Source organism: Homo sapiens, chromosome 5 (assembly GCF_000001405.40).
Source record: "Homo sapiens chromosome 5, GRCh38.p14 Primary Assembly".
Classification (NCBI taxonomy): domain Eukaryota; kingdom Metazoa; phylum Chordata; class Mammalia; order Primates; family Hominidae; genus Homo; species Homo sapiens.
In genome coordinates, this window is record NC_000005.10 from 121,663,978 (window position 1) to 121,684,583 (window position 20,606).

General features: G+C 36.8%; 1 pseudogene; it reads right to left on the reverse strand.

Moving 5' to 3' along the window:
- Positions 1-7,200: 7,200 nt before the first annotated feature.
- On the reverse strand, positions 7,201-7,945 carry RSL24D1P10 (ribosomal L24 domain containing 1 pseudogene 10; annotated as a pseudogene).

Genomic DNA, 20,606 nt, shown 5'->3' on the forward strand with positions numbered 1-20,606 from the left:
TTCCCTTTGAAAACGGGCACAAGACAGGGATGCCTTCTTTCACCACTCCTATTCAACATAGTTTTGGAAGTTCTGGTCAGGGCAATCAGGCAAGAAAAAGAAATAAACGGTATTCAATAAGGAAAAGAGAAAGTCAAATTGTCCCTGTTTGCAGATGACATGATTGCATATTTAGAAAACCCCATTGTCTCAGCCCAAAATCATCTTAAGCTGATAAGCAACTTCAGCAAAGTCTCAGGATACAAAATCAATGTGCAAAAATTACAAGCATTCCTATACACCAATAACAGACAAACAGAGAGCCAAATCATAAGTGAACTCCCATTCACAATTGCTTCAAAGGGAATAAAATACCTAGGAATACAAATTACAAGGGATGTGAAAGACCTCTTCAAGGAGAACTACAACCCACAGCTCAACAAAATAAAAGAGGACGCAAATGGAAGAACATTCCATGCTCATGGATAAGAAGAATCAACATCATGAAAATGGCCATACTGCCCAAGGTAATTTATAAATTCAATGCCCTCTCCATCAAGCTACAAATGTCTTCTTCACAAAATTGGAAAAAACTACTTTAAAGTTCATATGGAACCAAAGAGAGCCCTCATTGCCAAGACAATCCTAAGCAAAAAGAACAATGCTAGAGGCATCATGCTACCTGACTTCCAGCTATACTACAAAGCTACAGTAACCAAAACAGCATGGTACTGGTACCAAAACAGAGATATAGACCAATGGAACAGAACACAGGCCACAGAAATAACACCACACATCTACAACCATCTGACCTTTGACAGAACTGACAAGAACAAGAAATGGGGAAAGGATTCCCTATTTAATAAATGGTGCTGGGAAAACTGGCTAGCCATATGTAGAAAGCTGAAACTGGATCCCTTCCTTACGCCTTATACAAAAATTAATTGAAGTGGATTAAAGACTTAAATGTTAGACCTAAAACCATAAAAACCCTACAAGAAAACCTAGGCAATACCATTCAGGACAGAGACATCGGCAAGGACTTCATGATTAAACACCAAAAGTAATGGCAACAAAAGCCAAAATAGACAAATAGGATCTAATTAAACTAAAGAGCTTATGCATGGCAAAGATACTACCATCTGGGTGAACAGGCAACCTACAGAATGGGAGAAAATTTTTGCAATCTACCCATCTGACAAAGGGCTAATATCCAGAATCTACAAAGAACTTAAATTTACAAGAAAAAAACAAACCACCCATCAAAAAGTGGGCAAAGGATATGAACAGACACTTCTCAAAAGAAGACATTTATGCAGCCAACAGACACATGAAAAAATGCTCATCATCACTGGCCATCAGAGAAATACAAATCAAAACCACAATGAGATACCATCTCACACAAGTTAGAATGGCAATCATTTAAAAAGTCAGGAAACAACAGATGCTGGAGAGGATGTGGAGAAATAGGAATGCTTTTACACTGTTGGTGGTATAGAGTAAATTAGTTCAACCACTGTGGAAGACAGTGTGGTGATTTCTCGAGGATCTAGAACTAGAAATCCCATTTGACCCAGCAATCCCATTACTGGGTATATACCCAAAGGATTATAAATCATGCTACTATAAAGACACATGCACACGTATGTTTATTGCAGCACTATTCTCAATAGCAAAGACTCAGAACCAATCCAAATGTCCATTAGTGATAGACTGGATTAAGAAAATGTGGCACATATACACCATGGAATACTATGCACCCATGAAAAAGGATGAGTTCATGTCCTTTGCAGGGACATGGATAAAGCTGGAAACCATCATTCTCAGCAAACTATCACAAGGACAGAAAACCAAACACCGCATGTTCTCACTCTTAGGTGGGAATTACATAATGAGAACACTTGGACACAGGGCGGGGAACATCACACACCAGGGCCTGTCAGGGGGTAGGGGGCTAGGGGAGAGATAGCTTTAGGAGAAATACGTAATGTAAATGACGAGTTGATAAGTGCAGCAAACCAACATGGCAAATGTATACCTATGTAACATACCTGCATGTTGTGCACATGTACCCTAGGACTTAAAGCATAATTGTAAAATAATTTTAAACAAATATTAAATTCACACTGTGCAATAATTGAAAGTAAAGGCAACTTTTTCCAGTTCCCTCAATTTGATTCCTAGTCCTCCCTCCCTGGATAGGTCTAAATGGGTTTTAACGAAATCAGCAATATTTTAAATTAGGCATTAGATGATATATATCTTACTAAACATTTTATCACAAATAAATGTCACTCAAATCTATACTTTTTAAAATCAAGGTCTTAACTTCTTAATTTTGGTCAGGGTATATTTCACATGACTATATATTATAAACATTATTTAATACATTTAAAAGCTGTTAAATTTAATTACTGACACAGTAAGGTCTCCAAAATGCTATTTCAATATTTAAAGAACAGCAGATTAAGACAGACTAGCAGCAGGTCACATGCAATACCTCATGCCTGTAGCCCCTGTGCTTTGGGAGGCTGAGGCAGGAGGATACTTGAGGAGTTTGAGACCAACCTGGGCAACATAGTGAGAACCGTGCCTCTACAACAAATTTAAATATTATCCTGGTGTGGTGGTGCATGCCCGTAGTCCTAGCCACTCAGGACGTTAAGAAAGGAAGATCACTTGAGCTAAGGGCTTGAGGTTATAGTGAGCCATGAACATGCCTCTGCACTCTAGCCTCAGTAAAGAGTGAGACCTTGGGCCGGGCGCGGTGGCTCACGCCTGTAATCCCAGCACTTTGGGAGGCCGAGGCGGGCGGATCACGAGGTCAGGAGATCGAGACCATCCCGGCTAAAACGGTGAAACCCCGTCTCTACTAAAAATACAAAAAATTAGCCGGGCGTAGTGGCGGGCGCCTGTAGTCCCAGCTACTTGGGAGGCTGAGGCAGAAGAATGGCGTGAACCCGGGAGGCGGAGCTTGCAGTGAGCCGAGATCCCGCCACTGCACTCCAGCCTGGGCGACAGAGCGAGACTCCGTCTCAAAAAAAAAAAAAAGAGTGAGACCTTGTCTCTAAAAATAATATTTAAAAAAAAAAGACCAGCAAAAAAGTACCTCACTACAAGTAACATGATGAGACTCTATCCTCACCAAACCAATAGCAATGATACTGCCATGCATTTTACTGTGTCTATCAAAGACAAAGATGTTCAACAGTATCTCTGTGGCCCACTATAAGCATAATTCACAAAACTGTATTTTAACAGAACTCAAATATCTTTAAATGTCATGCAAAGACAAACACATAAAGCCTTTCTCTAGAGATCCAAAATGCATTTTTTTTTTTTTTTTTGCAGCAGTAGCAGCAGCACCATCAGCAGCAAACAGAAAAAGCATCTTAAAAATAATTGGTTATTTGTCCTTCCAACAATGTTTTTTCTTCCCAAATGTGCAAGCTAGGACTGTTTGATTTTCTGTAAGGAAGTCTTATACAGAAAGATAAGTTTTATCTGAAGGCTATAGAGCTCTCTCAAAACCTAAAGAGTATCGGGTGTGGAAGGGGAAGTAGATAAGCCTCAGGATTACACACATGTGAATCTAAGTGATACTGGAGGCACAGAAACAGACTCTTAACTCTGCTTTTTGCACATACGTTTTTACTCTTTCTACAGACGGGTTTCTTCTGCACACCATTGCATTTGGTATACAGTATCTGTTTGAAGCTCCTGAAATTACCAGTTATGGTTATACAAAATACTGACAATCTCTATCTCTCCTTCTCTCTGTATATATGTGTGTGTGTGTGTGTGTGTGTGTGTGTGTGTCTGTAACATATATCGTAGACATTTACACACACCCACTATGGGAAAAAAAAAATCTAACTGGCTTACTTGGGTCAGGTGCACAATTTTGGATGAAGTACCTATAATTAGATGACTAAGATGACTTAGTAAAAGCATAGCTTCTGTGGGTCTCCTCTAGCCCTGTGAGTCTACAGGGTGTAAGTTTATCTAAAAGACAAAATGGAAGATTGAAAGTCTAAACAAAATTGCTAGTAAATGTCTATTAAGTTAAGAAAATGTGGCACATATACACCATGGAATACTATGCAGCCATAAAAAATGATGAGTTCATGTCCTTTGTAGGGACGTGGATGAAATTGGAAACCATCATTCTCAGTAAACTATCGCAAGAACAAAAAACCAAACACCGCATATTCTCACTCATAGGTGGGAATTGAACAATGAGATCACAAGGACACAGGAAGGGGAATATCACACTCTGGGGATGGTGGTGGGGTCGGGGGAGGGGGGAGGGATAGCAGTGGGAGATATACCTGATAGATGACACGTTGGTGGGTGCAGCGCACCAGCATGGCACATGTATACATATGTAACTAACCTGCACAATGTGCACATGTACCCTAAAACTTAAAGTATAATAAAAAAAAAATTAAAAAAAAATAAATAAAAAAAATAAAAAATAAAAAATAAAAAATTAAAAAAAAAAAAGAATAAAAGCTTTTCTAAGAAAATTCACATGCTTAGCAATATTAGTCTTGACATCCAACAAAGACTAATAAGTGAAAAGAATCATTAACTATTTTTAATACTATTATACCACCAATACGTTTGTATTCCCGCTGTACAGTAACATATCAATACACTGAGATGGCATGGTTTGCAGCAGAGAGAGTTTAATGATTACAGAATACTGAGATAGGAGATGCAAGGGGACCCTCAAATCCATCTCCCTCAGGAGTCCTGAAGTGGAGTTTTTAAGGGGATCGTGGAGGGCCAGGGGATGGAAAATTTGAGTCATCTATTGGTCAGGGCAAGGGGAATAAAATCATCAGGATGTGGAAACCACATTATTTGGTGAGTCAGCTCCTTGGGGGTCCTTCAGATCACCTGGTGTTAGTGGGGTGTGTCAGACTAGCTGATGTCAGTATGCAGGAGCTGAAAGAATATCTCAAAGGGAAAACATTTCATAGTGTTCAAGTTTTTATTAGAGAACAGTTAAGGGAACTGTAATCTAATGTCTATGTGATTCTAGGACAACAGGCAACAGACAGCTCTGACAAAGCAGACCAGAGAGCAAGTCGACCTTACGGTTAATGATGAATGTGCTGCAAGCTTGGTTTATTTTTGCTTCTCCCTTTCCGTTCTTCACTGATTAATTTTATAAAGTGTACAGGAACAGTTTCAATACTATATTTCTTTGGTCAAGAAACAGCATATTCTTTGCCTCCTGTCATCTTACAGATAATCTTTGGGCTGACACCAATTCAGAAAGATTCCCAATCTCAAATAATAAATTTTTCATGGTCCTAAAACAATTAAGTAGCAATTATAAATGTGAAGTATTATTTAAAATCTGTAAACTTTACTTCATTGATATCACATTCAATTTACTTTAAAGAAATTATAATTCTTTCATAGTCACAACTTAATTTTACAATATCTGGAAATTGCAAAGTTCAAAAGTCGGTACCACTTTTTTTTCTGAATATTCGTCTAAATTTAGACTGAACTAAGATGTCTGCATTCTTTCAAGGTCAGTGAAAAGACACTCAAAAAAGTACAAAACAGGGTGGCTATAGTCAATAACAACTGTACATTTTCAAATAATTTAAAGAATATAATTGAATTGTTCGCAGCTCAACAAATAAATGCTTAAGGGGATGGATACCCCATTCTTCATGATGTTCTCATTTCACATTACACACTGTATCAAAACATTTCATGCACCCCATAAATATATATACCTACTATGTACCCCCCCAAATTATTTTAATTAAATAGGGAAAAAAATAAAATAGGAAGGAATCCAAACAAATGTACAATTGCTACAGAAATAATCATAATGAAGCATTGAAATATTATTGAAAGTAGATATTAATAACAATTTGATCATTAATTGGCCAAAACTAATAGACAAATTGGTCTTATAATTTCAACCTACAGTTTAAAGAATCTATCATTCAAATACCTAACACATTTTATATTATTTCTGTCAATAAAGTCAAATATTAATGTAAACATTCATTAGTCTCAGTGTGCGGTGAAGTAGATTGAATTTAGTAATAGTTTATTTTAAAAGATATGCAATACAATGAAAGAACTTGAAGGGATCTCAGGAAGGGTGGTATTTTACCATCTACTGATCACATTAATAGACACAGAGTGGCACAGAATCTAAGTGAGTAAAAAAACTAAGACAAATTATCACACTTTGGGAAATTTCAGGGTTTTTTTTCTTGTTTTTGTTTTCTACTTTAAAAATAGTTTTAATTTATATGCAAATATTAAACAGTGTTCTACCCATAAATTCTATTTTCCAAAAACAGCTAGGAGCTTTTTTAGAGAAGAAAACCACACAATGAATTTTACTTTATTTTTTTTTATTTTTTATTTTTTTTGAATTTTTTTTTTTATTATACTCTAAGTTTTAGGGTACATGTGCACATTGTGCAGGTTAGTTACATATGTATACATGTGCCATGCTGGTGCGCTGCACCCACTAACGTGTCATCTAGCATTAGGTATATCTCCCATTGCTATCCCTCCCCCCTCCCCCGACCCCACCACAGTCCCCAGAGTGTGATATTCCCCTTCCTGTGTCCATGTGATCTCATTGTTCAATTCCCACCTATGAGTGAGAACCCTACAAGCCAGAACAATGAATTTTAAAAAGCACTGGAATTCCTCTACTTCTAGATCATTGCTAAGCTAGAAAAACGAAGATTTTTCTACCAGGAATTGCAAGTCAGAACTGAGTATTCTTCAAAGCAGAGATTATAGAGTTTAGTGCCATTTGAGGCAAAGATTATTCATCTCTCATCTCCAACATCCGCAGTTACCTATCAGAAATATTAAACCAGGTCAAAATAGTCCAGCATAATTAGGCTTCATCAAACAAGGCTATTATTTTCTTCTAAGATGCTAATAAACTAAAACAGGAAACACTGAAATCAAAATAAAAGATATTATTTGAGGATACCTGTCTCACAAATACTTAGTTCCTTATTGTATTCCCCTTCTATAACACTAATAAAGGGAATATTTTACTGCAAAGGATATTTCATTTTATATATCACTAGTCATGAATTTTTTTCATTAGTTATTACATAAATGCCTCCTGGTGCCATTATCCAAATAGTGTGACCATTTTATGTCCACAATTCATTTCTGAATTTACAAACAGAATTTTCATGATTTACACAAGTACATCTATCAGTGAAGTATCGCACTGAGAAGAAAGCTAACATTCATAATATCTGATGTTTTACAGACAGCAATGTAGGAGAAACGTTTTTAATCACCTTTTAAGTGACCCACTGTAAAAAAATAAGTGAATAATTTAGAAGTTCTAAGTCTCCAAAGGATATTTTCAAATGTACTTGTAGAAATGTGAGGTTTTTAAGAAACGTCTTCCATGTCCACATCCTGTTGTAATTGCTGTACCATTTTCTCTTACAGCTGCTTTCCTTTGCCTACAAGAGGGGCTCGGATAAGATGGATGTTTTGCTTGACTTTTTTTGATCTCCTGAACTTTCTGTAGCTCCTTATTTTTCTTCAATCTGTTCATTATAAATTTAGCTTGACGTTTCTGTTTGATCTCTTCAACTCTCTTCATTGCATCAGTAGTTTTATTCCATAGCTCTTGCTGGTATTTCATAGGTTCGTGTCTACGTTTTTCAAAGATCAAATGAATAATTCACTCTAAGCTCTTTACCAGCTGCTTTCTGGAATGCTTTGGTCCACCTGAAATTGCAAGGATGTATTTCTTTTTAAAGTTTTTATGGCATTTCTATTTACAAAATCTGAACACCTTGCAATCTTTGCAAACAAACATCATGCAGTGGCCAGGGTCCAGAGTACATGGGCCCTGAACAAAAATAACAATTCCAAATAGGCATGTTGAAACTGTGTGGTTCCCACCAACCAAATACCAACTTTAAGTAGAAGTTGAAACTTAAGTTTTGAGTTTACATTACAACCAACAATTCTTCATTCTTGGATCTATTGAAAGGATCTAGAATCTAGCTGTCTATTAATAATATCATTTTTAAAAAATCAAATAATTTTGCATTATTCACTTCTTTCATATGGGTGTATGTGTATATAACACTTAATAAATTTGTGTAATAAAGATCTTTTATTAAGAAATGTACAAATATGTTTATATATATTCATACTAAATATATTATTTATATATTTAACTTCATAGATCATTTGATAATGCTTACAGAGACACATATCCTATAAGAGGGTACTTATTTCAATCCAAAATATTTAGATAGTGAATAGAATATAGTTCATTACGATTATTTACTTTTTCACACATTTATGAAGCTAAAGAAATTTCTAGAAACATAGATGATAGCTGGGTAGATGGATGGACAGATGAATGAACAGATGTTCATAGTACTTGCACCATTCCAAAGTGTTTTGTCTTAGCTTAAAGGAAAAGAAAAAAATACAGATAGAGGCAGATTTTAATTTTTAAAGAAATAGTAATGAAGGGGATATCACCACCGATCCCACAGAAATACAAACTACCATCAGAGAATACTACAAACACCTCTATGCAAATAAACTAGAAAATCTAGAAGAAATGGATAAATTCCTCGACACATACATCCTCCCAAGACTAAACCAGGAAGAAGTTGAATCTCTGAATAGACCAATAACAGGCTCTGAAATTGTGGCAAAAATCAATAGCTTACCAACCAAAAAGAGTCCAGGATCAGATGGATTCACAGCCGAATTCTTCCAGAGGTACAAGGAGGAGCTGGTACCATTCCTTCTGAAACTATTCCAATCAATAGAAAAAGAGGGGACCCTCCCTCACTCATTTTATGAGGCCAGTATCATCCTGATACGAAAGCCTGACAGAGACACAACCAAAAAAGAGAATTTTAGACCAATATCCTTGATGAACATTGATGCAAAAATCCTCAATAAAATACTGGCAAAACGAATCCAGCAGCACGTCAAAAAGCTTATCCACCATGATCAAGTGGGCTTCATCCCTGGGATGCAAGGCTGGTTCAATATACGCAAATCAATAAATGTAATCCAGCATATAAAGAGAACCAAAGACAAAAACCACATGATTATCTCAATAGTGGCAGAAAAGGCCTTTGACAAAATTCAACAACCTTCATGCTAAAAACTCTCAATAAATTAGGTATTGATGGGACGTATCTCAAAATAATAAGAGCTATCTATGACAAACCCACAGCCAATATCATACTGAATGGGCAAAAACTGGAAGCATTCCCTTTGAAAACTGCCACAAGACAGGGATGCCCTCTCTCACCACTCCTATTCAACATAGTGTTGGAAGTTCTGGCCAGCGCAATGAGGCAGGAGAAGGAAATAAAGGGTATTCAATTAGGAAAAGAGGAAGTCAAATTGTCCCTGTTTGCAGATGACATGATTGTATACCTAGAAAACCCCATTGTCTCAGCCCCAAATCTCCTTAAGCTGATAAGCAACTTCAGCAAAGTCTCAGGATACAAAATCAATGTACAAAAATCACAAGCATTCTTATACACCAATAACAGACAAACAGAGAGCCAAATCATGAGTGAACTCCCATTCACAATTGCTTCAAAGAGAATAAAATACCTAGGAATCCAACTTACAAGGGATGTGAAGGACCTCTTCAAGGAGAACTACAAACCACTGCTCAACAAAATAAAAGAGGAACACAAACAAATGGAAGAACATTCCATGCTCATGAGTAGGAAGAATCAATATCGTGAAAATGGCCATACTGCCCAAGGTAATTTATAGATTCAATGCCATCCCCATCAAGCTACCAATGACTTTCTTCACAGAATTGGAAAAAACTACTTTAAAGTTCATATGGAACCAAAAAAGAGCCCGCATCGCCAAGTCAATCCTTAGCCAAAAGAACAAAGCTGGAGGCATCATGCTACCTGACTTCAAATTATACTACAAGGCTACAGTAACCAAAACAGCATGGTACTGGTACCAAAACAGAGATATAGATCAATGGAACAGAACAGAACCCTCAGAAATAACGCTGCATATCTACAACTATCTGATCTTTGACAAACCTGAGAAAAACAAGCAATGGGGAAAGGATTCCCTATTTAATAAATGGTGCTGGGAAAATTGGCTAGCCATATGTAGAAAGCTGAAACTGGATCCCTTCCTTACACCTTATACAAAAATTAACTCAAGATGGATTAAAGACTTAAATGTTAGACCTGAAACCATAAAAACCCTAGAAGAAAACCTAGGCATTACCATTCAGGACATAGGCATGGGCAAGGATTTCATGTCTAAAACACCAAAAGCAATTTCAACAAAAGCCAAAATCGACAAATGGGATCTAATTAAACTAAAGAGCTTCTGCACAGCAAAAGAAACTACCATCAGAGTGAACAGGCAACCTACAAAATAGGAGAAAATTTTCGCAACCTACTCATCTGACAAAGGGCTAATATCCAGAATCTACAATGAACTTAGACAAATTTACAAGAAAAAAACAAACAATCCCATCAAAAAGTGGGCAAAGGACATGAACAGACACTTCTCAAAAGAAGACATTTATGCAGCCAAAAAACACATGAAAAAATGCTCACCATCACTGGCCATCAGAGAAATGCAAATCAAAACCACAATGAGATACCATCTCACACCAGTTAGAATGGTGATCATTAAAAAGTCAGGAAACAACAGGTGCTAGAGAGCATGTGGAGAAATAGAAACACTTTTACACTGTTGGTGGGACTGTAAACTAGTTCAACCATTGTGGAAGTCAGTGTGGCGATTCCTCAGGGATCTAGAACTAGAAATACCATTTGACCCAGCAATCCCATTACTGGGTATATACCCAAAGGACTATAAATCATGCTGCTATAAAGACACATGCACACATATGTTTATTGCTGCACTATTCACAATAGCAAAGACTTGGAATCAACCCAAATGTCCAACAATGATATACTGCATTAAGAAAATGTGGCACATATACACCATGGAATACTATGCAGCCATAAAAAATGATGAGTCCATGTCCTTTGTAGGGACATGGATGAAATTGGAAATCATCATTCTCAGTAAACTATCGCAAGAACAAAAAACCAAACACTGCATATTCTCACTTATAGGTGGGAATTGAACAATGAGAACACATGGACACAGGAAGGGGAACATCACACTCTGGGGACTGTTGTGGGGTTGGGGGAGGGGGAAGGGATAGCTTTAGGAGATATACCTAATGCTAAATGACGAGTTAATGGGTGCAGCACACCAGCATGGCACATGTATACATATGTAACTAACCTGCACATTGTTCACATGTACCCTAAAACTTGAAGAAGAATAATAATTAAAAAAATAATAAAAAAAGAAAGAAATAGTTGGAAATAAATGAATGTGAAGGAAGTTTACATCAAAGATATCTGACACAATCTAAATACAAAAGGCAGGGCTAATTAAGCAACATTCTTTGATATAGACTACTCCCTCCTACTCATTACTGTTTTTTTAATCTGTTTTCTGGTTTCTGATTTCTAGCATGACTAAGGATTAAATTTCGAGCTGCTTTTAATTTTAATCCAAACAGCCCCTTGTGGCTAAATAGTTACAGTATTGAATCATGTAAGACCAGGTAACCTATATTCTGCCCCAAAGCAAACTACCCAAAAAACATGGAATATTCTGTCTAGAAAGGGCCCACTCTATGTCTAGAAAGATGTCCAGGCCTGGTTTCTTGCTTCCTCTCCAGTATTAGATCACTTTTTTAACCCGTTTTCTTCTCTTGGCATTATTCCTTAATGAAAAACAGTGAATTATGTATATAAATTTATAACATCTTAAATGAAAGGAGAAGTTATTTAAAACATGTGACCATGCTTCCTGAAATGATTTCTAACCTTTACATTTGGAGAACAAGCTAAGAGATGGCATTTGCAAAGGTTTCCTAGGATGTTACTAACATTAACTATTTAAGATTTGCTCTGTGCCCTATTTAATAAAAAGTGACTTTTCTCTTATTTGCAGCAAGGAAAAATTGGTCTTACTTGCAATATAAATCAAAAAGCTGGTCTCAAGTCTGTGTCTTGTGATCTCACCTCTCAAAAATAAATAGTCCCTCACACTGAGTCTCTCTTGTGACACCGGGAGGTGGAACCAACCACACACGGCCTCCTGTTCTCATATGCTGCTGGGGCTAATACTAAGGTTCAGTAGTTGCTGCCACAGAGGCTAAAAAGGAGAAAGACATCACCATTTGGTTCTCTGCTCCTAAATCTGCTTTTCCACCATGGCATCTTCTTTCTTCTCACCCTGCCCACTATTGCCCAGCCCACAGAGTCACCAGAAAACTTGTCTGGAATGTGACAGAACTGAAGAAACCAAATGGCAGCTGGGCAGGTTCAATCCTATAGAGAGTTGTGCATTCTTCATTCACCTGTTATTTGGTATTTGGGAGGCAATACACAACACAACTGTTCATTGCACAGGCTATGGAGTCAGACAGAAGTGGCCTCAGATCTCTGCTTAAATAGATACTATGACCTTTGGCAAGCTCTTGAACTGAACGCTCATTGTGTCTATGTTTTCTCATCAGTAAAATGGAGATATTAAAAGCTGCTCCAGAGAATAATTATTAGGACAATTTAAATAATGCATATGAATTTGTTACCCTGTCTCTGGCATAGAGTCTCCAAATGACAGCTATAATAATTTTTAAAAGGATAAAATAAGTGTAGGTATAACTTAATAACAATGATCTTAGGAAGTGTTTATTACCCAGCTGTATATCCCTGCTGAATTCCCTAAGTTGAATTCTGCTCTTTATTAAAATTGTAAGCCATTTATGGGGGCATTTAGTATGTCAGTTGTTTAATTTTGAAAAATGAATATTACCTTTGTAAAATCATCTGGTCAAGAATTTACATTACATTACACTTAACACAGAGACTTCCATTGTACTTAGAATGTCTTCATCAAGTTTATTAAAAAGATGTAAGGCTTGGGGAAATTTACATCTGATGTTCAATTACCAGTTTTTTTTTTTACAAATACAAACTCTATATGTTTAAGGCATACAACTTGATGTTTTGATATATAATATATACATTGTGAAATGATCACCATAATCAAGCTGATTAACGTATCTCTCAACTCAGATACGATTTTCTTTTCTTCTCTCTTTTTCTATGTGCTAACAACACTTAAGGTTTATCCTCTCAGAAAATTGTAAGTACACAACACAATATTGTTAACTATAGTCACCATCCTGCATATTAGAGCTACATAACTCACTCATCTTATGTAACTGTAGAATCACTATTAGCAAAAAGACAAAGAGAAGTGCTGGTAATGATGTGGAGGAAAGAAAAATTTGTACACTGTTGATGGAAATGTAAATTCGTATAGCCATTATGGAAAATAGCCTGAAGATTTCCTCAAATGTAAAAAATAGAAATAACATATGATCCAGCAATCCCTCCTCTGGGTATATATACAAAGGAAATAAAATCTTCATTTCAAAGAGATATCTCCACCCCCATGTTCATTGCAATATTATTCACAATAGCCAAGTTATGAAAACAACCTGAATGTTCATTGACAGATGAATGGATATAAACACACATGCACACACACACACACACACACACACACACACACACACACCAAATATTATGAATGGTGATCATTAAAAAGCCAGGAAACAGCAGGTGCTGGAGAGGATGTGGAGAAATAGAAAAACTTTTACACTGTCGGTGGGACTGTAAACTAGTTCAACCATTGTGGATGACAGTGTGGCAATTCCTCAAGGATCTAGAATTAGAAATACCATTTGACCCAGCCATCCCATTACTGGGCATATACCCAAAGGATTATAAATCATGCTGCTATAAAGACACATGCACACGTATGTTTATTGCAGCACTATTCACAATAGCAAAGACTTGGAACCAACCCGAATGTCCATCAATGACAAACTGCATTAAGAAAATGTGGCACATATGCACCATGGAATACTATGCAGCCATAAAAAATGATGAGTTCATGTCCTTTATAGGGACATGGATGAAGCTAGAAACCATCATTCTGAGCAAACTATCGCAAGGACAGAAAACCAAACACCACATGTTCTCACTCATAGGTGGGAATTAAACAATAAGGACACTTGGACACAGGGTGGGGAACATCACACACTCGGGCCTGTCATAGGGTGGAGGGAGGGGGGAGGGATAGCATTAGGTGATATACCTAATGTAAATGATGAGTTAACAGGTGCAGCACACCAACATGGCACATGTATACATATTAACAAACCTGCACATTGTGCACATGTACCCTAGAACTTAAAGTATATAAAAAAAGAATGAAATTCTTCTATTTGTAACAATATGGATGTGTCTTGAGGACATAATACTAAGTAAAATAAGGCAAACACAGAAAAACAAATACTGTATGATCTCAGAAGTACATACGAAAGCAAAATCCCACACCAAAAGAGAGGAGAAAGGAAGGCAGCTATGCAGGCAGTTAGGGCAGATCCTTGGTAGAATTCTTTCCAACAAAGAGCAGCCTGAAAAATCAAGCAGCAAGCACAGATAAGGAAGCAAGGTCTACCATAAAAACACCTTTGTTCCTTCAGTATGATATTGGCTGTGAGTTTGTCATAAATAGCTTTTACTATTTTGAGATACATTCCATCAATACCTAGTTTATTCAGAGTTTTTAGCATGAAGAGGTTTTGAATTTTATTGAAGGCTTTTTCTGCATCTATTGAGATAATCATGAGGTTTTTGTCATTGGTTCTGTTTATGTGATGGATTACATTTACTGACTTGTGTATGTTGAACCAGCCTTGCATCCTAAGGACGAAGCTGACTTGATCGTGGTGGCTGGATTTGGTTTGTCAGTATTTAATTGAGGATTTTCACATCGATGTTAATCAGGGATATTGGCCTGAATTTTCTTTTTTGTTGTTGTTGTGTCTCTGCCAGGTTTTGGTATCAGGATGATGCTGGCCTCATAAAATGAGTTAGGGAGGATCCCCTCTTTTTTTGTTGTTTGGAATAATTTCAGAGGGAATGGTAACAGGTCCTCTTTATACCTCTGGTAGAATTCAGCTGTGAATCCGTCTGATCCATGGCTTTTTTTGGTTGCTAGGCTATTAATTACTTCCTCAATTTCAGAAGCATTCCCTTTGAAAACTGGCACAAGACAAGGATGCTCTCTTTCACCACTTCTATTCAACACAGTATTGGAAGTTCTGGCCAGGGCAATCAGGCAAGAGAAAGAAATAAAGCTATTCAAATAGGAAGAGAGAAAGTCAAATTGTCTCTGTTTGCAGATCATATGATTGTATATTTAGAAAATCCCATCGTTTCAGCACAAAATCTCCTTAAGCTGATAAGCAACTTCAGCAATGTCTCAGGATACAAAATCAGTGTGCAAAAATCACGAGCATTCCTGTAAGCCAATCATAGACAAAACAGAGAGCCAAATCATGAGTCAACTCCCATTCATAATTGCTTCAAAGAGAATAAAATACCTAGGAATACAACCTACAAGGGATGTGAACTATCTCTTCAAGGAGAACTACAAACCACTGCTCAAGAAAATAAGAAAGGACACAAACAAATGGAAAAACATTCCATGCTCATGGATAGGAAGAATCAATGTCATGAAAATGGCCATGCTGCCCAAAGTAATTTATAAACTCAATGCTATCCCCATCAAGCTACCACCAACTTTCTTCACATAATTAGAAAAATCTACTTTAAATTTCATATAGAACAAAAGAAGAGCCTGTATAGCCAAGAGAATCCTAAGCAAAAAGAATAAAGCTGGAGTCATCACGCTACCTGACTTCAAACTATACTACAAGGCTACAGTAACCAAAACAGCATGGTACTGGTACCAAAACAGATACATAGACCAATGGAACAGAACAGAGGCCTCAGAAATAACACTACACATCTACAACCATCTGATCTATGACAAACCTGACAAAAACAAGCAATGGAGGAAAGGATGCCCTATTTAATAAATTGTGTTGGGAAAACAAACTATCCATATGCAGAAATCTGAACCTGGATCCCTGCCTTACACCTTATACAAAAATTAATTCAAGATGGATTAAAGACTTAAATGTAAGACCTAAAACTATAAAAACCCTAGAATAAAACCTAGGCAATACCATTCAGGACATAGACATGGGCAGAGACTTCATGACTAAAACACCAAAAGCAATGGCAACAAAAGCAATAAACTGACAAATGGGATCTAATTAAACTAAAGAGCTTCTGCAGAGCAAAAGAAATTATCATCAGAGTGAACAGGCAACCTACAGAATCGAAGAAAATTTTTGCAATCTACCCATCTGACAAAGGGCTAATATCCACAATCTACAAAGAATTTAAATTTACAAGAAAAAACACCAAACAACCCCATAAAAAAGTGGGCAAAGGATATGAACAGACACTTCTCAAAAGAAGATGTTTATGTGGCCCACAAACACATGAAAAAAAGCTCATAATCACTAGTCATTAGAGAAATACAAATCAAAATCACAATGAGATTCCATCTTACACCAGTTAGAACAATGATCATTAAAAGTTAGGAAACAACAGATGCTAGAGAAGATGTGGAGAAAAAGGAATACTTTTACACTGTTTGGTGGGAGTGTAAATTAGTTCAACCATTGTGAAAGACAGTTTGGCGATTCCTCAAGGATCTAGAACTAGAATTACCATTTGACCCAGCACTCCCATTACTGGGTATATAGCCAAAGGATTATAAACCATTCTACTACAAAGACACATGCACACCTATGTTTATTGCAGAACTGTTCACAGTAGCAAAGACTTGGAACCAACCCAAATGCCCATCAGTGATAGACTGGATTAAGAAAATGTGGCACATATACACCATGGAATACTATGCAGCCTTATAAAAAAGATGAGTTCATGTCCTTTGCAGGACATGGATGAAGCTGGAAACCTTTATTCTCAGCAAACTAACACAGGAACAGAAAACAAAACACCGCATGTTCTCTCTCATAAGTGGAAGTTGAACAATGAGAACACATGGACACGGGGAGGGGAACATCACACACCGGGGCCTGACAGGGGGTGGGGGACTAGGGGGGGGATAGCATTAGGAGAAATACCTAATGTAGATGACAGGTTGATGAGTGCAGCAAACCACCATGGCAACAAACCTGCATGTTCTGCATATGTATTGCAGAACTTGAAGTATAATAATAATAATAATAAACCTTTGTCTTTTATGCAACCAGTGAGTTCTGTCCATACACAGTGGGCTTTCCTTTTTGGGCATACTCAGATAAGGGAACTTAGACTAGGGACTTCCTTAAGACATGCTTGCAGCTGCAGAGATAAGAGGATTTACACAAACCAAACACGTCCACAGTGGAAAATTCCATCTCCTGACACATGACTCAGGCTAAGGAACCACATGCTCACTAGAGGGGCAGGGTGGAGCTGTCACAAATTTCTGCTTTATGCAAATAAGATGCCCAGTCCTAACTGGTTTTTTCCACCTTATGTAAATGAAACACCCCACCTCATTCGCTTTTGCATAAAAGCCTTTGTACTCAACTGTGAAATGCCAACCTTCCTCGGGCCCCCTCCCCGCAGTGGATAGCTTTTCTCTCTCTCTTATTAAACTTTCACTCAAACTCACCCTCGATGACCACACCCCTTATTCTTCTTGGTCATGAGACAAAGAACTTTGGGTAATACCTCAGACAATGAGACTACTTCACTAATACCTCCCCAATTTCACTAATTCTTTGTACCATTACTTCTAGGATTTCCCTTATCGAAGAAGCATTGGCATGTATCAGTCATTAATCTGTCATTCTTCTTTTTTGGAAATCAATGTCCAAGTCTTATAAATTTCACAACATTGATATCTTAAATATCTTTCTATTTCCATACCCACTGCCTTACTACAGATTCTTAATATCTCGTACTAATGATATTCTCATAGCTTCCTAAGAGGCCTTGCTCTGTCTCCATTTATAAGCTCTCTAAAGCTCCCAAGTGATCTTTGTATAATGCAACCTGATCATACCACTCCTTTGTCTGGAGGCCTGCAGTGATTTCCATTGTTTAGATTATAAAGCTAAACCTTTAACCATGGTATACAAAATTATTTGTGCTATGTCCCTGGCTTTCTTTCCAGTCTCAGGTCTACTTCCTGTGCCTTGTTTTCTCACACTATTTTCTAGCCTTGCCAAACTGCCTAAAGATACCCAACACTACTTGCTACTTTTGGATACAAGCAACAGAAACCCACTGAAAGCACTTTAATATGTATTTTGAATTGAATGCTCATCCTGATCATAGAATAGTGTAGATGGCCAAGCTGAAAATGGAAGACAATTGTGACAAAGGTATTAATAGGTCATAGAATCTGATATTGGAAGTACAATTCATGCCATGAAGAGTAAACTCTGAATTAGAAAGTCTTTATGAAGTTGGCAAATTTATACATGGTCTCTAATTTCTGTCTCTCTGAGTCTGTTCCATTTTTTTTATTTTGTTGATATGGTCTCTCTGTTCAGCTCATCTTGCACATGGAACAACATGATCACCATCCAGAGTATATAAAGTCCTCTCAGCTCCACAGCCATGGCCAACTGATGATTCTATGTTATTTAGTTAAAAATCTAGCCCATTTACTCACTACTTGGCAAAACTTTAGCTCTATAGTCAAACCACATGTTGATTGTCTCACATCCCTGTTTCTCCACTTAATCACCAATATCTTCCTTTATACAGAAAAATAATTCAGCATTATTTCTCTGTGTGTGGTAGGGGCAGGAGGTGGTGAGGTAGTGGGGAATTTAGCAGTTTAAGCTAGAAGTGGCAGGTGGGTAGGACAGGCATGTGACTAACATCCAGTACATACACAAAGCCTCTGTGCTTTCATCTGAAATATGCTCTTCTCCTCCTTGTCTGCTGGTGATAACCATCCATTTTTCAAAACACTGTAAAGTTTCTGGATAACAGGGACTTTGTCATGCTTGTTAGTATATCTCTAGCCTGGAAAATACCATGTAATCTTTAAATAGTTGTTGAATTAATGAACAAATACATTCTGGTTATTTTCCTATAAGGTCATCCCTACCAAAAAATGGCCACTCCTTCCTTTATACCCCATTAGAATACCCTCTATGCATACCTTTATTAGAAACTAAAATACTGATGTACTTATTTGAGTCCATCACTTTACTAGACTGTGACCTCCTTGAGGAAACACCTTGAGAAAACATGATTTATTAATTTCAACATTTCTAATCCAATGTAGATGCTGAAAAAAAATGCCTGTTGAATCAATGACTGAGTAAATGAGCAACATTAACAAGCCCTTCACATTCATAGTGTCCTTTTGTTCCTCTTTTTTAAGAGCACTATTTTATGTAAGGTTTCAGGAAGCAGAAATAAGTAAAGCAGCACAAATTTTGTCACTGTGAAGAACATGTCTTACCCTGCAAGCAAAAGTATTTTTCAGCCCATTCCTGTTCCTTTCTCTGCTGGCTGTCCACTGGAGAAACTGGTCTTCAACCCACCCTCTCTCTGAAGAACACTAGAGAATTTTGGTAAAGATCCTGACATAAGACTTTGACTGATTTATACCAAAGACACAATTATAAAACAAGTCTCTATGGAATATACTAATTGGCTCTGTTTTAATATCCTTTAATCACAACACATATAATTCTTTTGCTTGGAGATCACCTAAAGACTATAATATGCCCAAAACAATCAGATACATTGTACTTTCATCTCCTTAATGAACTTTGCTATATTTTGTCTTTTCCAGTAAATTACAAATGAGTCACAGTTTGGAAATAATTCTAAAAGAAAGCCCTTTCCAAGCATGGAAGTGGTAAATATAAACTTCAGCGTATGACCATCTGTCAGAGTTAATTCCCGTCAGGGATTTCGTCCTTAGTTATTTGTTTCTATAGACAATGTAAAGCAAAAGTCAAAGCGTGAACTTTGAATAGTAGCAAATTCTTTATATATTTACCAGCTTGTTTCCAACACTAATTTTCTTCAATATATAAATAATTATATTAAATTTTTTTATGTATGAAACAAACTAGAAAGTGAAATTTTCTAAGTTCCTATTCTCTGGAAGTAACCCTAATGAACACTAATTTTTTTTCAATAACTTGTTTTCAATAGCATGTATGGTTGCTTATCATTTTTAGATTTGCCTAATCTTGTTAGGGTTGCCTCAAAGTTTTACATAAATTTGGTTGAATAAACCAGTAATAGTATTTTTGGAAAGTATCAAAAGAGGCATCACTAATTTGCTTATGTTGATGCAGGGTCATTTTAAACATGCGATATAGACAAGCATTCTCTACAATAACATTGAATAATTACAATGACAGTATTTTTTGGTCTCTTGTGCTCTCTCATATGACAGTGAAGTGGCTAATTGCTCTGCAACATAGCCTATTACAGCCACAGTTAATTAACTGCAATAATTACCTAATGTACTTTTCTGTACAATTAGAAAGTTTCAGATATAACAAATAAAATTTGCTTCCCCTTTTGAGGTGTGCAGCTATATTATAT